General features: G+C 44.1%; 1 protein-coding gene across 3 annotated transcripts in view, besides 1 other annotated feature; it reads left to right on the top strand.

Moving 5' to 3' along the window:
- PRKCB (protein kinase C beta) overlaps positions 1 to 22,923 on the top strand; it is a 384,629-nt gene that overhangs the window by 261,483 nt on the left and 100,223 nt on the right. For all 3 annotated transcript variants that reach the window (NM_002738.7, NM_212535.3, XM_047434365.1), the window contains one exon: positions 15,508 to 15,604. In NM_002738.7, coding sequence (NP_002729.2) covers positions 15,508 to 15,604 — 97 coding nt within the window. The remainder of the gene's footprint in view (positions 1 to 15,507; positions 15,605 to 22,923) is intronic.
- Positions 10,227 to 10,726: an enhancer, noted in NCBI's record as "NANOG-H3K4me1 hESC enhancer chr16:24119013-24119512 (GRCh37/hg19 assembly coordinates)". NCBI's record gives its function as "activates a minimal SCP1, AML or CMV promoter by ChIP-STARR-seq in primed H9 embryonic stem cells {active_cell/tissue: H9 hESC(primed)}" and the evidence as "EXISTENCE:reporter gene assay evidence [ECO:0000049][PMID:30033119]".

Below are 22,923 nucleotides of genomic sequence, written 5' to 3' on the forward strand. Positions count from 1 at the left end.
ACATTGAACAAGGAATTACGCAAATGACAAATCAATGACAACATGATGGAAGATGTGAAGAAGACAGGAGCTGAGAGTTTTGAACCCAAAAGTATCTGAGACAGATTTCAATCAGTTTAGAAAGTTTATTTTGCCAAGGTTAAGGATGTGCCAGTGACACAGACTCAGGAGATCCTGATGACATGGGCCCAAGGTGGATGGGGTACAACTTGCTTTTATACATTTTAGGGAGACGTAAGACATCAATCAATACATGTGAGATTTACATTGGCTCAATCTGGAAAGGCAGGACAACTAAAAGTGGGACGGGGAGGTGCTTCCGGGTCATAGGTAGATTTTACAATTTTCTGATTGGCAATTGGTTGAATGAGCTGTTATCAATAGAAAGGAATGTCTGGGTTACATAAGGAGTTGTGGAGACCAAAGTTTTATCATGAAGATGAAGCCTCCAGGTAGCAGGCTTCAGAGAGACTAGATGGTAATTGTTTCTTATCAGACTTAAGGTCTGTGTTGATGTTAATGCTGGTTGGCTTTTCCTGAATTCCAAAAGGAAGGGGATATAATGAGACATCGTGTCTGACTCTCCCTTCTCATCATGGCCTGAAACAGTTTTTCAGGTTAACTTTGGAATGCCCTTGGCTGAGAGAAGGGGTCCATTTACATGGCTAGGGGGCTTAGAATTTTATTTTGGTTTACAGAATGTACCCCAAAAGAGTTGTGTTAAAGCACAATTCACAAATGGTTAAAAACATAGTTCTCATAAGATAGATAATGGGCATTAATGGGCATTGGCCAAAGATTTCCTTAGCTCACTAAGGAGAAAAGCAGCAGGATGAATGAATGATTCCACAGAAGGTTTGATAAACTGATGTTCGTGTAGTCAGTAGAAAAAGATATGCTGAAATAACTTTGCTCAGTTAAATATAAAACTGACTGATATACAGGACAATAGAATCATAAGCTTTGGGGTTATCTACTAGAATGAAACAAAAAAAAGATTTTGGCCAGGCATGGCGGCTCACACCTGTAATCCCAACACTTTGGGAGGCTGAGGCGGGCGGATCACCTGAGGTCAGGAGTTTGAGACGAGCCTGGCCAACATAGTGAAACCATGTCTCTACTAAAAATACAAAAATTAGCTGGGCATGGTGGCAGGTGCCTGTATTCCCAGCTACTCGGGAGGCTGAGGCAGAAGAATCGCTTGAACCCAGGAGGCAGAGGTTGCAGTGAGCTGAGATGGTGCCACGGCACTCCAGCCTGGGCAAAGATTTCACCTCAGTTTTCTAAAAGTTAACATGTATCTTTGCAGACTAGGGAGGCCATCTGGGGCTGACCTGATGGTGAATAATAAACTAAACAAAGTAATATTACTGTGAGGAAAGAAATAGCTAATTAGAAAATGCTCTAGCATGACATTAAAAGTTCACACGGTCATCTTTTTGGTTTTCTTTTTCCCCCAAGCTTTGGATATTTTTCCCTAACATGCAAATGACTTGACTTTGCAGGGTGTACATCAGTTACTCACAGTGGATGTTTCATTCTCATTTTAAATCAAACTTAAAGAGGTTAAAGAGAAAGAATGCATGATCCTCAGGGGGTATCAGTGTGACAGGAGGAAACATAATAATAATAATTATAATAACAATAGCTACTACTCATTGACTCTTAATAGATGCCAGGCTCTGGGTTGAGCTTTTCCAGATGTCGTGGAGTCACAATTTTACACAGCACTGATCAGGTGTGCAGAAAAAATAAAGCTTATTTCTTTTCTATAATGGACTTAGACTTTCTCATGCACTTTTGTGAGCTCCTGGTGACCGAGGAGAAGGGACTCTATATGCTGCATGTGGTACTTTCTGAGCTTCACTGTTTCACTTTTCTGACTGGTCACTGTTAACAGCAAAACCCAGCTCTGTAAAATATTTTAAAGAAGTTTATTCTGAGTCAATATAAGTGACTGTGGCCTGGGGAAACACAAACCCAAGAAGCTTTGAATAAGTGGTCCTGAGGTGGTTAGATTACAGTTTGGTTTTACATGTTCTGGGGAGGCAGAAGTTACAGGCAAAGACATAAATCAATACATGGAGATTATACATTGGTTTGGGCCCAAAAGGCAGGATAGCTTTAAATGGGGCTTATGGGTTATAGGAGATTCTTTAATTTGCAGTTGGTTAGAGTAAGACTTTGCTAAAACTTGGAGTTAACAGAAAGAAATATTTTATGTTGGCTGGGCGTGGTGGCTCATGCCTGCAATCCCAGCACTTTGGGAGACCGAGGCAGGTGGATCATTTGAAGTCAGGAGTTCGAGACCAGCCTGGCCCACATGGTGAAACCCCGTCTCTACTAAAAATGCAAAAAAATTAGCAAGTTGTGGTGGCACATGCCTGTAATCTCAGCTACTCTGGAGGCTGACCAGGAGAATTGCTTGACGCAGGAGGCGGAGGTTGCAGTGAGCTGAGATCCCGCCACTACACCCAGCCTGGGTGACAGAGTGAGACTCCATCTCAAAAAAAAAAAAAAAAAAAGAGTGTTTAAGTTGAGGATGCTGTGCAGCAAGATGGCTTGCTTATGGTGCAACTTCACCTTTGCCTGGCCTGGCGTTAGTCCTGTTTATAATCTGATATTTTATTGCCACAAAGAGTCTGTTTTGTCAGTCTTATGATCTCTACTTTAACATTCATGTCAGTCCATTGTTGTATATAAACTCCCAAAGAAAGGAGGCATAACAAGACGTGTCCAATCTCCTTTCTCTCATGGCTGATAATTCTGTTTTTAAGGTTTTTCTTAGATCCTCTTGGCCGAGGAGGGGGTCTGTTCTGTCAGTGGGGGGCCTTAAGATTTTATTTTTAGCCTACGTTCCTAAACCAGCGCCCACTGAAGTGGGACTGGTCCCACCTAGCTTTGGGGCATCATTCTGGCTTTGTGCTGAAGATCCTGGCCTGTTGCTTCTCCTTGTGAGTTCCCTCCATGCAGCACCCTCTCTGTCCCACTCATAGGCCACTGCTGGGCCTGGTTCAGGGAGGCCAGGAACCTGCCTGAGTCCTCCCCCTGAGGAGTCTTTTCTGCTCCTTCTGCTGCTGCTGGAATGATGTTGCCTGGTGCATGGATAGGTCTCTGGCCAGCGTTCCAGCCGAGGAGGAGGGAAACCCACCTCTCCCCACCACCTGTCCTTTCTCCTTCCCAAGGTTCTCCAAGCCCCAAAGGGAGGGGCTTCTCCTACAATCACCCAATGAGTTCATCTAGAGCTGATTCACTGAGACGGCAATATTTTAGCAGAGAAAGAGTTTAATAAACACAGTGCCAGCCAAGCTGAAGGATGGGAGTTTATTACTCAAATCAGCCTCCTCCAAAATTCAAAGACTAGGGTTTTTCAAGGACAGTTTAGTGGTAAGTGGGGGCTAGGGAATGGGGAATGCTGATTGGTGGGTTGAGAGTGAAATCATAGGGGGTCAAAGCTGTCTTCTCATGTTGAGTCAGTTCCTGGGTGAGGATCACAAGACCAGGTAAGCCAGTTTCGTTGTATGGATTCCCAGTCTGGGTTGCACCAGCTGGTCCATCAGAATGCAGGGTCTGGAAAATATTTCAAACACCAATTTTAGGTCTATAATAGTGATTTTATCTATAGGAGCAATTGGGGAGATCCTGAATCTTGTGACCTCTGGCTACATGTCTCTGGAGCCAGAATTCTAACTTTGTGGCTAATATGTTAGTTTTACAAAGGCAGTTTTAGTCCCCAAGCAAGGAGATGGTTAGTTTTGGGAAGGAGCTGTTATCGTCTTTGTTTTAAAGTTAAACGAATGGCCAGGTGTGGTGGCTCATATCTGTAATCCCCGCACTTTGGGAGTGCCAAGGTGGGAGGATTGCTTCAGTTCGGGAGTTAGAGACCAGCTTGGGCAACAATGAGATCCTGTCTCAACAAAAAATTTAGCCAGGCATGGCGGCATGCACCTGTGCTCCCAGCTACTCAGGAGCCTGAGGTGGGAGGATCACTTGGGCCCAGGAGGTTGAGGCTGCAATGAGCTGTGATTGTGTCATCGCACTCCAGCCTAGGCAATGGAGAAAGACCCTGTCTCAAAGTAAATAAAGAAACAAATACAAATAAAAAATGAAGTTGAACTGAAACTAACTTCTTCCCATAGTTAGCTTGGCCTAGGCCCAGGAATGGACAAGGATAGCTTGGAGATTAGAAGCAGATGGAGTTAGTTAGGTCCGATTTCTTACACTGTCATAGCTTTTCTATGTCATATTTCTCTTACTGTCATAATTTTTGCAAAAGTGGTTTAACTCCCACACATGCCATATCCTTCTTCCTGGGCTAGTGCCTGCCTTGTCTACTCCCCTAAGGCTGAGAGCAGGGAAGAAAAAAACGGCTTAAGAATAGGGATAGTGTATCAGGAGTAAGCCCAAAATATTACTGCATTTACACTTAGATGATCATTTAATTCTCCAGTTATTCTAGGTTTCATCATTTCCAAGGCTCAGAATAGTTCAGCAGTGTGTTAGGGATACACAGCTTGTAAGCAACGGTGCTGGGTTCAGGTCCAGATTTCTATGATGCCAGAGCCTAAGCATATACAAATTCCATTCTGCCTCCTGATACAGGGTTAGGTGGAAGGCTAGAGGGTAGACAGCTGGGATTTTATTTCGGCTTTCCTGACTGGATGGATGCTTTGTGACCTCAGGTGAGCCACTTCACCTCTCTGTACTACAGCTTTCACAGCAGATATGCCACCCATCAGATTGATTACAACACCCCCTGTCCTCCATCCACCACTTAGGATAGCTGTGAAGTTGATGACATAATAGTTGGAAGGGAACTTTTCCAAAATAAAAGCCCTCTGCAGATTTTTGCAGATAAAAGTCCTCCTCAGATTTACGGCCAAGACATTTGCGATGCTGTCTTGACTGTAAATGGACCAGATCCTAGACATTTGGATTCTTGCCCCTGGGATTCTTTGAACATTATGTGATCTTGAGCAAGTCTCACACCCTTTCTGAAACTCAGATTCACCATTTAGAAGGGGATGGGCTCCATCAGCTCTTCTGTTGTGCTGTAATTGAAGACCGTGTGGCAGAAACAGCAGATGCAGCTGTGGAAGCTATCAGATGTGGTGCACCAGCCCCAGGCCCCCTGTCTGCCTCTTGGCCAACTGCCCTGTATCTGTTGACAAATCCGCCTCTTTGTTTCTAATTTTGTTTATTTATACTGTCTCCTTTCTTTCCCCTTCATTTTCCAGAGGTTCATCTGTTTTATTTACTTATTTATTTTCTTCAAGGAATTAACTCTGGGATTTGTGTATCAATTTTGTTTGTTTTCTCCTTTTCTGTAGGTTTATTTTGTGTTTGGCTTTGACTTTCAGTTGAACATTTTACTAATTTATTTTTTCTTCTTTCGCCTGACTCTGCTCTTTAAAAATAATGAATAGCTTTTTTGTTTGTTTGTTTTGAGACGGAGTTTTGCTCTGATGCCCAGGCTGGAGTGCAGTGGCACAGTCTCTGCAGGTTCAAGCGACTCTCCTGACTGAGCCTCTTGAGTAGCCAGGATTACAAGTGCCTGCCACCACACCCGGCTAATTTTTGTATTTTTAGTTGAGACAAGGTTTCACCATGTTGGCCAGGCTGGTCTCGAACTCCTGACCTCAGGTCATCCTCTCACTTCGGCCTCCCAAAGTGTTGGGATTACAGGTGTGAACCACCGCACGTGGCCAAAAATAATGAACAAGCATTTAAGGGAATAAATGTTTCCTCTGAGTTTTGATATGCTAACATTCTGGCTTTTGCTACTTCCTTGAGGGCCTGCAGTTGAGGTTTTAGTTTCTTTTCTAACATGCTTTAATTTAGGCATTTTTTTTAACCCCTAGAATTAGATTTTTGTTTAAATTTTTAATATTAATGTTAAGTTACTGTTTTAGTGCTTTCAAGTTAGAGAATATGGCCTGTGCACTTTTCTTTTTCCCTCCTGTTTTCTTTCCTTTCTTTCAGCATAGCTTAGTATTTGTTCAATGTTGTTAAAAGTTCTGTGGACTTGCAAGAAAAAGATTATATTAGCTATTCGTAGAGTATACTTTTTTGTGGAGAAAGAATAAACCTTTTTTCAACTTTTATTTTAGATTCACGGGATACATGTACAAATTTGTTACCTGGGTATATTGCATGATGCTGAGGTTTGGGGTATGAATGATTCCGTCACCCAGGTACTGAGCATAGTACCCAACAGTTAGTTTTTCAATCCTTGTCTTCCCCTCCCCTCTCCCCTCTACAGTTCCTAGTGTCTGTTGTTGTCATCTTTATGTCCATGAGTGTAGGGTATACATTTATTCATTCCAATGTATTATAAGGTCCAGATCTTTTTTTTCTGAGGCGGTGTTTCACTCTTGTTGCCCAGGCTGGAGTGCAACGCCGCGATCTTGGCTCACCATAGCCTCCGCCTTCCGGGTTCAAGCTATTCTCCTGCCTCAGCCTCCTGAATAGCTGGGATTACAGGCATGTGCCACCACGCTCAGCTAATTTTGTATTTTTAGTAGAGATGGGGTTTCTCCATGTTGGTCAGGCTGGTCATGAACTCCCGACCTCAGGTGATCCGCCCGCCTCGGCCTCCCAAAGTGCTGGGATTACAGATGTGAGACACCACGCCCAGCTAAGGTCCAGATCTTTTATACCTTCATATTGTCCTTTTGTTTGCTTGAGCTAAATGTGTAGTGTTTATTAAGTTTCTTCAGGCAAAATGATTCACAAACATTCTTTTTATTTCTAGGGGTTTTTGCCTTATCTGTATATGGCAATATTATTAACCACATAACTCTACAAGTCTTATTATATTGACATGAAGTTATCTTTGTTGCAGCTAATGCGTTTTCTCTATAATTTTACTTTGTTGCTGGCATTCATTCATTCATTCATTGAATATACACAGTGAGCACCTGCTGTGCTGAAGAGACACTAATGAGCAAAACAGACAAGAATCCGTGGCCTCATGGAGTTTTCTTTTTAGTTGAAGAAAAATAAACAACAATTGTAAATGAACAAAAATAAGTAATAAAACATGGCATGTTTGAGGCTGATAAGTGTCATAGAGAAAAGTAAACAAGAAATGGGGACAAGGAATCTTGGGGAGTGGAGACATTCAGATTTTATAGGGAACTCAGGAAAGAACTCACTGAAAAGGTAACATAGAGCAAAGATCTAAAGCAGGTGAGGAGGGAGCTGTGTGGATATCTAGGGAGAGGTTGTCTTAGGCAGCGAGGACGGCAAGCTCAAAGGCCCTGGGGCAGGAGTGCACCCGGCAAGTTGGAAGAGCAGTAAGGAGACTCCTGTAGCTGGAGCTGGATCCATGAGGGGAGAGTGGAGGAGGATTAGGTCTTGGAGGATATGGGGAGAGGGTTGGCGGATCCTGTCGGCCTTGTCAGGACTTTGTCTTCTACTCTGAAGAACACGGGGAGCCAAGGAATTAATGAGATTGAACTGACCTTTGCATATGTCCTCTAGTTGTGGTGTGGTCGATCCCTTTTCCCTAGTAGGTCCTTTCCCATTCTTTTATGTCTAATCTTTCTAAGTCCTTTGGTCTTGTGTAACAAGCGGCACGTTGTTGGATTTTTTTTTTTTTATTTTTGAGACAGAGTCTCACTCTATCGCCCAGGCTGGAGTGCAGTGGCACGATCTCAGCTCACTGCAACCTCTGCCTCCTGGATTCAAGTGATTTTTCTGCCTCAGCCTCCCGAGTAGCAGGGATTACAGGCATGGGCCACCACACCCATCTAATTTTTGTGTTTTTAGTAGAGGTGGGCCTTCACCATGTTGGCCAGGCTGGTCTCGAACTCCTGACCTCATGATCTGCCCACCTTGGCCTCCCAAAGTGGTGCTGGGGTTACAGGCGTGAGCCACCAAGCCTGGCCTTTTTTTCTTTTTTTTTTAAAATTTTACTTTAAGCTCTGGGATACATGAACAGAAAGTGCAGGTTTGTTACATAGGTATACATATGCCAGGTGGTTTGCTGCACCTATCAACCTGTCATCTAGATTTCAAGCCCCGCATGCATTAGGTATTTGTCTTAATGCTCTCCCTCCCCTTGCCCCTCACCCCCTAACAGGCCCCGGTGTGTAATGTTCCCTTCCTTGTGTCCATGTGTTCTCATTGTTCAACTTATGAGTGAGAACATGCAGTGTTTGGTTTTCTGTTTCTGTGTTAGTTTGCTGAGAATGATGGTTTCCAGCTTTATCCATGTCCCTGCAAAGGACATGAACTCATCCTTTTTTATGGCTGCATAGTATTCCATGGTGTATATATGCCACATTTTCTTTATCCAGTCTATCATTGATGGGCATTTGGGTTGGTTCCAAGTCTTTGCTATTGTAGCTAGTGCTGCAATAAACATACATGTGCATGTGTCTTTATAGTAGGATGATTTATAATTCTGAATCTGAAGATCTTTTTTCCACAGGAAAATGTTTTAATGTTTATAGCTATAATTGCCATGTTTCTTATGGTGTTTCTAAAGTTTTCTTTTTCTTTCCTATTTCATTCTTTTTTTTTCATCTCCTTCTAAACAGATAACTATTATCTTAAATCAGTGTTATATTACTTTTTTTTAAAAAAACTTTCTGTTATTATTAATAATCACATTTTGGTCTTATTACAAAAAAAAAGCAAAAAACAAAAAACAAAAAAAACTAATGCTTTGGAATCAGACTTCCCGGGTTAGAATTTCTACTGTACCACTTCCTAGCTGTGTACCCTTGGCAAGTTACTTCGCCTCTCTGTGCTGTGTTTCCTCATTTGGAGATAATAGTCGTAATTATGTCACAGGATTGTTGCAGTATCAAATTAGTTAATATAAGTGAGGTGCCCAATGTCTGCTAAATAGCACTCAGTAAGTGTTAGTCATTATTGTTAATTGAATAATTATTAGAAAAATATAAGAAATTGGAGAATTTCAGAGACCCCAGATTCCCAGTGCCCATAACCACTATTGACCCTATAGAGAGAGAGAGTGAAGCAAAAAATGAAATCTTACTGTGCATACTATTTGGTACCTTGCATTTTTCACCTAAAAATAATCCGCAATAAACATAATTGTGGCAAAACTTTTGTGCCCAGCTTTAATAATTTCCTAATAAATTTCTAAGCCTGGAATTGATGACTTTAAGCATATACACATTATTAAAGGGTTTGCCAAAATGTCCTACAATTTTAAAAATCAATTTACAGTCTTATCAATCTTGTATGAAACTTTTCAGTTTATTAACATTAACATCCAGTGCTATAAATTTCAAAGATATGATACAAAGATTATACACATATTGTATTAGAAATTATGTTGAACATTTTCATTTGCATATTGCCATTTGTTTATATTTATATATGACTATGTCCTTTTGCCTTTTTCTTATTGACTTGTAAGAACTTTTTATATGAGAAGAATATTAATATGTCTTTCCTGACATATGTATGTTGCAACGTTCCTCCTCCTCCTTTTCATGTTGTAAATTAATTTTGGTAATATGCATTTTTCTTATGGTATATAAAGCATTCGGTTCAACTCCAATCTAATATGATAGATATCAAGCCACTTGCCAGAAACATTTCTCAAGTTTTTCTTTTCATTGACTAATTGTTATCTGAATTATCCATGCTGTGTTCACTGTCTCAAATGAATTTTTTAATTCAGTGATTATATTTTTCTTCCGAAAGTAGTCTTTCCCACTCTCGTATTTGTTCCCTTTTCACAGATGCACCAACCTCTTGAATCTCACTGCAAATATGAATTAGGTAGTTTCTAGAATGTTCTCTCTTTTGGCAGCAGTTGTATTTCATGGGAGTTACTTTGATTCTGCATTGTTTCTTTCTATTTAAATGACTAAATTTTTCACACATCCTATTGTGCTTATTTGCCTATCCTTATAGAAGGGTGAGCACAGACATTTCTGTGTCCTTGTTCTAACATTTCATATCTGGATAAAGGGAGACAGGAGTCTTTTGTATTTTTTGGAATTCTGTTTTGTCAGATCAGGAGTCCTGTTCCTGACATTTGGGCGGGGCTACAGTGGAGACAGGTCCATAACAGGCACCCCTCAAGCCAGATGGAGAGCCCATCTTCCTCACGTTGGTTCTGTGCATCTCAAAGTCAGAAGGGGTCCTGCTCCTCTCTGAGGGGGCACACGTGTCCTATTTGGAGGCAGTAGTGGCAGCGTCCTTCACTCACTCTGTGGCGTACTGGCCACCGTGAACACACGCTGTGGCACCATGCCCCTGCCCGCTGCGCCAGGCACTGACATGTCTCCTCTTGCATATGAATGGGAATCGGCAACCCTCACCCGGTCATTGATGGTCTCAGCCGGGGTCATTATTGGGCTCTGTTGGGGCACCTTTTATGGATGACAGCTGGTCAATTCCCCTTTATCTGTATTTTCCCAAGTGTGAGACCCCAAATACTCTAGATGGTTCACAGTCAGGGCATAAATAATATTGAATTGTGCCCCAAGAAAGCAATTATTTTGTCAGTGTTCTTTCAGTTCTTCAAATTATGGCAAAGAGAAAATCTCAGAGGTCTCTGATATATCGTTAACACTCTAACACTTGCTCTTCGCTGATCTCCCATTAAAAAGGGGCAGGGGCAGGCTTTCGATTGAGAGCCTTTAGTAAGCAACACCATCTACTTGCACGTGCATAACCTTGATTTCCTTGATTTCCATTTGTTTATTTTTTTTTCTTTTTTTTTTTATTGGAACATTAATTAGGTTTTATTTTCACTTTTTGTTTCCACAGTAACATGTATGGGATTAGGTTACAGTGTTTATTTGTCCCCAATCTTTTATTTATTTATTTTTTTTATTATTTTTTTTTAATTGATTGACTTTTTATTTTTTATTTTATTTTTTTTTAAATTTATTTATTTATTTATTTATTTTTTATTGATAATTCTTGGGTGTTTCTCACAGAGGGGGATTTGGCAGGGTCATAGGACAATAGTGGAGGGAAGGTCAGCAGCTAAACAAGTGAACAAAGGTCTCTGGTTTTCCTAGGCAGAGGACCCTGCGGCCTTCCGCAGTGTTTGTGTCCCTGGGTACTTGAGATTAGGGAGTGGTGATGACTCTTAACGAGCATGCTGCCTTCAAGCATCTGTTTAACAAAGCACATCTTGCACCGCCCTTAATCCATTCAACCCTGAGTGGACACAGCACATGTTTCAGAGAGCACAGGGTTGGGGGTAAGGTCATAGATCAACAGGATCCCAAGGCAGAAGAATTTTTCTTAGTACAGAACAAAATGAAAAGTCTCCCATGTCTACTTCTTTCTACACAGACACGGCAACCATCCGATTTCTCAATCTTTTCCCCACCTTTCCTGCCTTTCTATTCCACAAAGCCGCCATTGTCATCCTGGCCCGTTCTCAATGAGCTGTTGGGCACACCTCCCAGACGGGGTGGTGGCCGGGCAGAGGGGCTCCTCACTTCCCAGTAGGGGCGGCCGGGCAGAGGCGCCCCTCACTTCCCGGATGGGGGGGCTGGCCGGGCGGGGGACTGACCCCCCCACCTCCCTCCCGGACGGGGCGGCTGGCCGGGCGGGGGGCTGACCCCCCCACCTCTCTCCCAGATGGGGCGGCTGGCCGGGCAGAGGGGCTCCTCACTTCCCAGTAGGGGCGGCCGGGCAGAGGCGCCCCTCACCTCCCGGACGGGGCGGCTGGCCGGGCGGGGGGCTGACCCCCCCACCTCCCTCCCCGACGGGGCGGCTGGCCGGGCAGAGGGGCTCCTCGCTTCCCAGTAGGGGCGGCCGGGCAGAGGCGCCCCTCACCTCCCGGACGGGGCGGCTGGCCGGGCGGGGGGCTGACCCCCCCACCTCCCTCCCGGATGGGGTGGCTGCCGGGCGGAGACGCTCCTCACTTCCCAGACGGGGCGGCTGCTAGGCGGAGGGGCTCCTCACTTCTCAGACGGGGCGGCCGGGCAGAGATGCTCCTCACCTCCCAGACGGGGTTGCGGCCGGGCAGAGGTGCTCCTCACATCCCAGACGGGGCGGCGGGGCAGAGGCGCTCCCCACATCTCAGACGATGGGCGGCCGGGCAGAGACGCTCCTCACTTCCTAGATGTGATGGCCGCCCGGCAGAGGTGCTCCTCACTTCCTAGGTGGGATGGCGGCCGGGCGGAGACGCTCCTCACTTTCCAGACTGGGCAGCCAGGCAGAGGGGCTCCTCACATCCCAGATGATGGGTGGCCAGGCAGAGATGCTCCTCACTTCCCAGACGGGGTGGCGGCCGGGCAGAGGCTGCAATCTCGGCACTTTGGGAGGCCAAGGCAGGCGGCTGGGAGGTGGAGGTTGTAGCGAGCCGAGATCACGCTACTGCACTCCAGCCTGGGCACCATTGAGCACTGAGTGAACGAGACTCCATCTGCAATCCCGGCACCTCAGGAGGCCGAGGCTGGTGGATCACGTGCGGTTAGGGGCTGGAGACCGGCCTGGCCAACACAGCGAAACCCCGTCTCCACCAAAACCAGTCAGGCGTGGCGGCACGAGTCTGCAATCGCAGGCACTCGGCAGGCTGAGTCAGGAGAGTCAGGCAGGGAGGTTGCAGTGAGCCGAGATGGCAGCAGTACAGTCCAGCTTCGGCTCAGCATGAGAGGGAGACCGTGGAAAGAGAGGGAGAGGGAGACCGTGGGGAGAGGGAGAGGGAGAGGGAGAGGGAGAGGAGGGAGAGGAGGGAGAGGAGGGAGAGGGAGAGGGAGAGGGAGAGGGAGAGAGCGTCCCCAATCTTTTAAGTCTATTTTTTTTTTCTTGAGACGGTGTCTCGCTCTGTTGCCCAGGCTGGAGTGCAGTGGAGCAATCTCGGTTCACTGCAACCTCTGCCTCCCGGGTTCAAGCGATTCTCCTGTCTCAGCCTCCCGAATAGCTGGGACTACGGGCGCGTGCCACCATGCCCACCTAATTTTTTTGTGGTTTTAGTACAGATGGGGTTTCACCATGTTGGCCAGGTTGTCTCGATCTCCTGACCTGGTGATCTGCCCACCTTGGTCTACCAAAGTACTGGGATTACAGGCATAAGCCACCATGCCCAACCTTTTTTTTTTTTTTTTTTTTTTGAGAGACAGGGTCTTGCTTTGTCACCCAGGCTGGAGTGCAGTGGTGCAATAATAGCTCACTGCAGCCTTGACCTTCTGGACTCAAGCGATTCTCCTACCTCAGCCGCTCAAGTAGCTGGGACTACTGGCATGCGCCACCATACCTAGCTAAATTTTTTTAATTTTTTTGTAGAGACAGGGTCTCGCTATGTTGCCCAGGCTGATCTTGGACTCCTGGCCTCAGGTGATCCTCCTTCCTCAGCCTCTCTAAGTGCTAGGATGACAGACATGAGCCACCACGACGACCTGTTTATCTTTTTGTTTGTTTTGTTTTGTTTGTTTTTAACAATTATTTTCTATTTGTAACAAGTGATATTGAATTTCCTTCCAAGGAAGAAATAAAAAGTGTCCTTTAAAATTAAATTTATTATTAAAAAAGTAAAACAGATATTTCAACGCTGATATACAAATCTAGCAAAATCCACAAAGGTAGCATCTGAATGGATAAAGTTAAAGTTTACCCAAAATAGCTCTGTTTTCTTTCTATTACTTTAATTTGTAGGAATCCCTGGAAGTCCCTGCTGTGTGGATAGCACCCTTCTCGATTTCCAGCAAAGATACAGATGCTCTCTTGTTTTTATATTTCTTTTGGTAATTTCCGTGGAATTTTGGAAGAAAATTTGGAATATTAAATGTGGAGGCGTAGAGGCTCAAATTGTCTTCTCTGCTTTGAATCACCTAGCCCATTTTTGGAAGCTGCGTAAGAAGATTCGTGAATGGAGAGAAAACATTGTGATGAAAATTTTAAACTTTGGTTAGGAATGATCTTTGAGAGCGAGGAGTTTTGGGGTCTTTTTTCTTTCCCACTGATTCAAATGCTTTTAGAATGTCCCTTTTCTTTCCTCACACTCATCTCATCCTCTTACTAGATGAAAAAATCTTTGTGGTCAAGAAACAAACTGAAGCCCCCATGTTTATTATTATATTAGTAGTAGCTGGGCATGGTGGGATGTGCCTATAATCTCAGCTACTTGGGATGCTGAGGCAGGAGGATTGCTTGAGCCCAGGAGTTCAAGACTGGCCTGAGCAACATAGCAAGACCCTATCTCTGCCAGAAAAGAAAAAAAAGAAAAAAAAAACAGCCAGGTGTGGTGGGATGTGCTTTTAGTCTCAGCTAGTTGAAAGCTGAGGCCGGAGGATTGTTTGAGCCCAGGAGGTCAAAGCTGCAGTGAGCTATGATTGTGCTGCTGCACTCCAGCCTTGGTGACAGAACAAGGCCCTGTCTCTAAAATAATAATAATGACATTAGTCACAGTAATAATAATCATGATGATGCCACTAATTGAATACTTGCTGAATGCCAAGTGCTGTGCTTATCATTTTACATGCGTCATTACATTTCAATTTCACAAGAATTCTATGAAAAAGGAATTTGTATTCCAATTTATAGATGAGAAAAACAGAGGCCCAGAGAGGCTAACCAGCCTGTCTAAGGTTATGAGATGAGATTTGCACCCAGACATGGTTTGACTCCAGGGCTTGTGCGCTTAACCACTAAGGGATGCCGTTTCTCAAAAAGGCTGACTACAGCACATTTTGGGAAAACTTTTGCAGAGAAAATAGCATCATGAAGTCAAGTCCATGGTCACCTAAATGCAGTTGAGTGCCAGGATGGCAAAGTGGCACCCTATGCACCCTATGTAGGGTGAAAGGTAGAAATGCTGGAAGAGCATGACAAGAGTGTATTTACAGTCAGGCAGTGGGGGTTGCAATTTGGGAGGATAGGGTGAGAAGATCACTTGAGGTCAGGAATTCAAGACTAGTCTGAGAAACATAGCCAACTCCCATCTCTACAAAAAAATTTTTTTTTGTTTAATTAGCTGGGCATGGTGGCACATGCCTATAGTCCCCAGCTACTCAGGAAGCTGAGGCAGGAGGATCGCTTGAACCCAGGAGCTCGAGGCTTCAGTGAGCTGTGATTGCACTATTGCACTCCAGCCTGGGTGACAGAGTGAGACCCTATCTCTAAAAGCAACAACAACAATAACAACAACAACAAGAAATTTACGATGAGGGATCTTCATAGCATTCTTTCAGAATAAGAAACTACTTAATGGACAAAAAGTAGGTAAAAATATACAGTAATTTAACGATATAACTAAGAAAACTGTGTAAGTGTGTATAGAGAGAGAGTGAGAACTTTGCCTCCTATGTACATGTGATATACATTTTTTTTCTGCTGTCCATGGAAGAGTTACAAAAATACATAGTGTACCTGGTAGTGTACCATGCACACTACCCCCACCCAACATACTGAAAAACAAACCAAAACAAACCAAAAAACCCTCAACGTATATTTTTTCAAGTAGAGCTTTATATAGGCCTCCTTTTCATATGCTGATCAATAAAATAATACCGAGTCGAGTCATGAAATGTGTCCCACCCCCTTGTCTCCCTTCAGGTTTAAGTTACTGAGCCAGGAGGAAGGCGAGTACTTCAATGTGCCTGTGCCACCAGAAGGAAGTGAGGCCAATGAAGAACTGCGGCAGAAATTTGAGGTGAGGTTTCTTTTCTTTTTCTCTTCTTTCTTTTTTCTCTTTCTTTTTTCCTTCTTTCCTCCTGCTCCCTCCTCTTTCTTTCTCTTTCTCTCTTATTCTTTTTTCTCTCCTTCCTTACTTCCTTCTTCCTCTCTCTTTTCTTTCCTTCTTTCTCCTTTCTTTCTTTCTTGCTTACTTGCTTGCTTTCTCGCTTTCTTCCTTTCTCTCTTGCTTTCTCTTGCTTGCTTTCTCGCTTTCTTCCTTTCTGTCTTGCTTTCTTTCTTGCTTGCTTTCTTTACCCCCCTTTTCTTTGTTTTTTCCTTCCTTCCTTCCTGCCTTCCTTCCTCTCTCTTTCTCTTTCCCTCTCATTCTTTCTTTTCTTTCTCTCTCTGTCCTTCCTTTGTTTCTTTCTCTCTCCTTCCTTCTTCCTTTCTTCCTTCCTTCCTTTCCTCCCTTCCTTCTTTCCCTCCTTCCTCCCTCCCTCCCCCCTTTCCTTTCTTTCTTCCTCCTTCCTCTCTCTTTTCATTCTTTCTCCCCTTTCTCTCTCTCTTCCTCTCTCTTGTCTCTCTCTTCTTTCTTCATCTCCTTTCTTTCATCAGTGGGAACCAGTTAGGTTTGCTGCTGTGCTGATTTTCCTGTTTATGGCATGGTTTCTACTAAGACTTTTCATGACTCTGAGCCTTTGCAAGGTTGTTTTATCTCCTAGAAAACTCTGATTAATCCTTCAAGACCCCAATTAAATGCCCTTGCCTTATGAAGTTATTCCTGCTTCCCTGTCTGCATTCAGGCTTAGACATTTCTTCAAAAGTGCTCATTCACTGCCCACCATTTTGATGGTGACTTGGACTGGAATGGTAGTCATGGTGAATGAAAGAAGTAGACAGAGGGCCGGGTGCGGTGGCTCACACCTGTAATTCCAGCACTTTGGGAAGCTGAAGCAGGCAGATCACTTGAAGTCAGGAGTTGGACACCAGCCTGGCCAATATGGTTAAACCCAGTCTCTACTAAAAATACAAAAAAATTAGCTAGGCATGGTGGTGCACGCCTGTAATACCAGCTACTCGGAAGGCTGAGGCACAAGAATTTCTCTGGGTGGCAGAGGCTGCAGTGAGCCAAGATTGTGCCACTGCATGATCAGTAATGCTCTGTTGCCCAGGCTGCAGTGCAATGGTGCGATCTCGGCTCACTGCAGCCTGGGCAACAGAGCGAGACTTCATCTCAAAAAAAAAAAAAATAAGTAGACAGAGAAGTGATATATTTTGGAGGCTGAGTCAACTAGGCTTGCTGATGGATGGAATCTGGATTGGCTCTATTGACAGAATGATGCTATATAGTTAACGAATGGAATTGATTGTGCTAATGACTTCATGAAATACCCTGGGGGTAGATCTTCCCAGAGAATAGTTTTATCAAATGGAAAGCCCTTGGCTGTGACCTTGAGTTACATTGCTGGCTCTGCTCCTACCTGAAATAAATCCCTTTCCTTCTACGGGGACAAATAAACACCATTTTCAGCTACCTAAGAGCAGCAGGTGTATAGGACACATCCTTGCTTTACAAAGAAAATGTTTGGGGGAAGATAGGTTTGAATACTTACATTATATGTGCATTGAGTGATTTTAGTAGTTTCCTGAGGAAAAGCACATTATTTTGTTCCCACAAACTCAATACACTGAGTCTGGTGGGAGATGATCAATTCTAGATAAACCATGATGGCCTACTAACTCCCCAAAAATGTATATAATAGCATAGCTAAAATGAAATTAATTTTTATTATTGTTATTCATCAAATAATGACACACACAAATAAAAAAAAAACGTGTAAAGACCATGTAAAGTCCTGGGAAAGAGAGGTCAGGTACCTTGAGAACATGTACAAGAGAAATGTCACGTAGTTTGAGAGAATGGGGAGGTGTCAGGAAGGAAACAGCAATGGAAGTTTACCATGTAAAAAGAGGGGAAAATGTATTCTGTTCTGCAAACAGCATGTGCAAAGGCCCTGTGGTTGGGGGTTATATAGCAGCAATGTGAGACTGAAAGAAGACCAGCCTGGGTAGAGCAGAGAAAGCCAAAGAGAGTCCAAGGAAAGGCTGAGGAAGTAGGCATGAGTCACAGTACGTAGGGCTGTGCTGGCCTTGACAAGGATTTTAGCATTTATCCCAAGAGTATTTATCCCAAGGACTTTAGCATTTATCCCAAGAGTATTTATCCCAAGGATTTTAGCATTTATCCCAAGAGCATTTATCCAAGAGCATTTATCCCAAAAGTATTTATCCCAATGATTTTAGCATTTATCCAAAGAGTATTTATCCCAAGGATTTTAGCATTTATCCCAAGAATATTTATCCCAAGGATTTTAGCATTTATCCCAAGAGCATTTACCCAAGAGCACTTATCCCAAGCGTATTTATCCCAAGGACTTGAGCATTTATCCAAAGAGTATCTATCCCAAGGATTTTAGCATTTATCCCAAGAGCATTTATCCAAGAGCATTTATCCCAAAAGTATTTATCCCGATGATTTTAGCATTTATCCGAAGAGTATTTATCCCAAGGATAGCATTTATCCCAAGAGCATTTACCCAAGAGCATTTTTCCCAAGACTATTTATCCCAAAGATTTTAGCATTTATCCCAAGAGCATTTACCCAAGAGCATTTATCCCAAGGATTTTGTTTTGTTTTGTTTTGTTTTTTTGAGACAGAGTCTTTCTCTGTCACCCAGGCTGGAGTGCACTGGTGAGATCTCGGCTCACTGCAAGCTCCACCTCCTGGGTTCACGCCATTCTCCTGCCTCAGCCTCCCGAGTAGCTGGGACTACAGGTGCCCACCACCACGCCTGCCTAATTTTTTGTATTTTTAGTAGAGATGGGGTTTCACCATGTTAGCCAGGATGGTCTCGATCTCCTGACCTCGTGATCCGTCTGCCTCGGCCTCCCAAGTGCTGGGATTACAGGCGTGATATCCCAAGGATTTTAGCATTTATCCCAAGAGCCCAGTTACCACACGTGGTATATTTCAGTACGTCAGAGTTGGTTGCCTCTGTTTGGTTACGGGGCTTTGAGTTCTAGGGCTCTAAATTGCAGACATGAAAAGGCAGCCATTAGTGAGTGTATTCCTGTTTCTGAGGGCACATCGTACACAGCAAGATAAAGGACAAGTTTGTTTGTTGAAAGAAACAAACTATCAAGTTTGTTCTCCCCTCAACTTGATAGAAATAGCGCTTAGGGGCCAGGCACGGTGGCTCATGCCTATAATCCCAGCACTTTGGGAGGCTGAGGCAGGAGGATTGCTTGAGCCCAGGAGTTCGAGACCAGCCTCAGCAACATAGCGACCCTACCTCTATTATTAAAAAATATATATTTAAAAAAAAATAAAAAAAGAAATAGCACTTACGTATTCCCAAATTCCTTGTCTTGAGCCTATGCCCACCCGACATGCTGGAAGATAGTGATAGTTCTGACCCAGTGGGGTCCTCCCTTCCTGGGAACAAGTGGAACAGACACATTGGCCTTGAGCTTATCAGTCATTCTCCAGTGACCTTGATAACAGAGGCTTGTTCCCAAAGTCTTGGACTCAAGCCCAAGTGAACTGAAAAAAGAACCTTCCCTCCAAGTAGAACTAAAAACTGGATACTGTTTGATAAAAATTAAGACAGGAAGGCAGTCTTTCCAGAGAACACTTTCTGTCTCTTTCCCCCAACTTGCTGATGAAGTGGTATCATTTGCTGCTGTTATAGAAATGTACTATTACGGGTGAAAAACACAAGGCCAGTATTTTCTTGTATATAACCAAGTCTCAGTTTTGCAAAATGATTTTTTTCTGTCCTGGGGCAGCTGGGGTGACATTTCAGAACACCAAGGAAAAGATTTGCTACACAAACAGAGCATTTGTCTGGGCCAGTAATTGGCTTGGAATAGGAGACTGTTTTATCCGCATGCAAGAAATTGTGTCCCTTTCTTTCTAGCAAGAGCCTGCAAATGCTTGTTTATGCCTGAATTATAATCGCTGCATACTGTACTTGTTGATTTAAAAAAATGTTTCCAACAGACCGAAAATTGTTCTCAGGCTCACAGAGGAATTTCAGTTGACCTTGAACATGAGAAATGTAATCCCTGGGCGATAACCAATTAGCACCCGGAATGACTCAGAAATTACTTTCAAGCCTCTTATCTGGAGGAATTCTGAGTGACAGTAAAATCGAGCTGCTAGAATTGGGGTAATAGAATTTCATGGTAGTGTGAGCTTGGCGCAGTTACCACACGTGGTATACTTCAGAACATCAGAGCTGGCTGTTTGCTTAGGGGGCTTTCAGTCGACCGTGGGCTTTGGAAAAGAAGACTCCATTTTGGATGGCGCACAGTGGGATTTCTCAGAGTCTTAAAATTTATTTGTATAACAAAGTGCTTACTGTGTGCCATTTATGATTCTAAGTGCTTTGCAAATATTAACTCAGGTAATTTAATCCTTACAACAACCTAGAATGGTAGGTACTATTATCACGCTATTTTACTTTTACAAATGAAGAAACTGAAGCCCACAGAGGTTTAAGTAACTTTATAAGGTCCCAGAGCCAGTCATTGTCCTGGGTTTGGGTTTTCCCAGAAACAGACTATAAGGATTCAAGTGCAAGTACTTTATTTGAGAGGTGATCCTGGAAGCACCATAAGTTAATAAGGAAGCATTGCCAGAAAAGGTGGGAAACCAGGAAAGTAAGTATTATCAAGCAGACTACTGCTGTGGGCAGCTAGGGTTTAACCCTGCTGGAGAACTCTCAAGTCAGCGCGGAATGCATGCCTCAGAATTTCCCAATCAAGGGACAGGAAGCTGAGGGGTTATCCGTCGGCTCCCCTTCCGTTGCAGGCTAAGGGCTGCTCCCAGGGAAATCCACTCACCCGCACTTTCAATGTGCCCTGTGCGCTGTGCCCGCTCCTATAACCAGAAAATAAGCTACAGGCAAAGAATCACAGGTGTTTGCTGTTAGCAGCCCTAGGTGTAGAGAGCAGCATGCTGGTGGTGTCTTGGAGGAACACCAGCGATTGTACCTGTGCAATGTAGCCTAATGGTTAAGTGTGATTGCTTGAGAGCCAGACTGCCTAGATTTGAATCCCAGTTCTGCCACCTCCTTGCTGAGTGGCTGTAAGCAAGTTGCTTTGTCTCTCTGAGCTTCTGATTCCCTACCTGTAAAATGGGGAATTATAGCACTTCTTACCTCATGAGGTTATGTGAGGATTGAATGAGGTAATGCGTTTAGCAGAGTGTCTCACATGTCATACATATCCAGATGTTAGATGCTAGCATCATGGTGGTTGTTATAATTATTGTCTCCCCCTTCGGGATAAATAAAGCTCAGAACATCCTCTTTCTGGGCTTTGGAAGGGCTGCTTGGAGGTTAGGGAAAATCTACAGGGACTCCTAGCCTACAGAGGTCCCTGCCCCACTGCTGGGTAGCTGGGAGTGCCTGTAGTAGTTCCTTGTAGGGGTGGAGTGGCAGAGGAATCTGCAGTTTTAGCCAGGACAGGCATTCATCATCGGGAGTGGAGCCCAGAGTCTGGCTGCCAGGGCTTCTCCACTGTCCCCTCGTGCTGTCTGGAAGGTGGCTTGGCTCTTTGCTCAGAAATGCTATTTGCTTTCTCTCTTAGCATTGAGTTCTAGGGCTCTAAATCGCAGACATGAAAAGGCAACCATTAGTGTATTCCTGTTTCTGAAAGCACATCCCACACAGCAAGATAAAGGACGAGTTTAATTTGTGCCTCAATTTTAAAATGTTCGCTCTTTGATGCAGTGTGTGCTAGGCATTGTCCCCTTGGAACAATGGGATATTTCAAAGGACAAAGGACAGGGCTCCTGTCCTCTGAAGGCTCACTGAGTAGGGGCCACAAACCCAGGTGTTTTCAGGAGCCAGGCAAACAACAAGAAGGCGAAAGAGCTTGGCATCACCCAGTGTTAGCAGATCCCCTTCTTCAAAAGAAGCTGGGGATCTGGGTTTTCATATCTCCAAATTTTCAACAGTTGGCAACTAATTAAATATTAAAATGACAACAAACTCTGTGCAGACCAGACCAACAGGGTTATCAGACTTCTTTTTTTTTTTTTCCAGGGTTATTAGACTTCTGATCTAGATTCTAGAAGTTAAATTAACATGCCCATGAGAAAAGTTATAAAAGCAAGCTGGGAGGGAGGGAGGAAAGAGGGGTGCCAGCCCCAGATTCAGAGGAGAGAAGGGAGTTTCTAGTGCTGAGGGATGAGGCTGTTAGCTGCTCCTTGAAGGACAAGGAAAAAATCAACCCCTCTTCCCACCCCCCCAAAAAAGTCCTTATCTGTCCACTACGCAAAGTCAAATGAAGAAATCAGGAAGTTTGAGGTCCGTGCTCACGTTTCATGGGGAGTGTGTGCTGGGACCCGCAGGTGGATGGGAAAGTTCCCAGGATGGGAAATGGGAACTGGGGCAGGCAGGACTTGGATCTTCACAGTCTGGAGAATGGAGACTGTGAATCAGATGGGTCCTGAGCCAGGATTCAAAGAAGGCAGGACACATGGTGCTAAGGTGATGGGGCAGCAGGGAGGGGAGTAGGGAAAGTGTTTGGGTCAGGCCAGCTTGGGGGTGATGATTTAGGAGGGTGTGAGGACATAGCCCGAGAAAGGTGAGACGGCTTCTGTCCTACCCTGGCTCTTTTGTTTGCAGTTTCCATTGCAAATAAGATGACCTTGTAGTTTTAACTACCCCCTCGTTGCCTCTACACCCCAAATCTCTGTCTCCAGTCCAGATATCTTTGCTCAAGCCCCAAACCCATGTATACAACTGCTTACTGGGTATTTACACTTGGGTTAAACCTCAACATATCTTACTGCAAAGTAAACTGACCAAGTATATTCACAGCAGCGTTGTTAGTAGGCCGAAAGGGGAAACAACTCAAATGCCTGTACACAGGAGACGGGATAAACATCAACAATGAGTGCCATTCAGCAATACAAAGAGACAAATTACCGATTTATGCAAAAACATGGATGCATTTCAAGAACATTTTGATGAGTGAAAGAAGCCAGGCACAAGAGTACACACTCTACAATGCTGTTCAGATGAAATTCAAGAACAGACAAAACTGACCTATGGGATAGAAACTGGAACAGAGATTGCCTTAGTGGCGGGGGTTGCGGGGGGCGTCGACTGGGAACTTTTGGAGGGTGATGGAAATGTTCCGCGTCTTGTTTGGGGTTTGGGTTACATGGGTGTGCACATTTGTCAAAATCTACAGAACTGTGCACGTGAGATTGGTGCACTTTGCGGTGCCCACCTCAAGTTTCAAAACATGAATAAAGAGAAAATGGCGGATGCTTTGTTA

Source organism: Homo sapiens, chromosome 16 (assembly GCF_000001405.40).
Source record: "Homo sapiens chromosome 16, GRCh38.p14 Primary Assembly".
In the NCBI taxonomy this organism is placed as follows: Eukaryota; Metazoa; Chordata; class Mammalia; order Primates; family Hominidae; genus Homo; species Homo sapiens.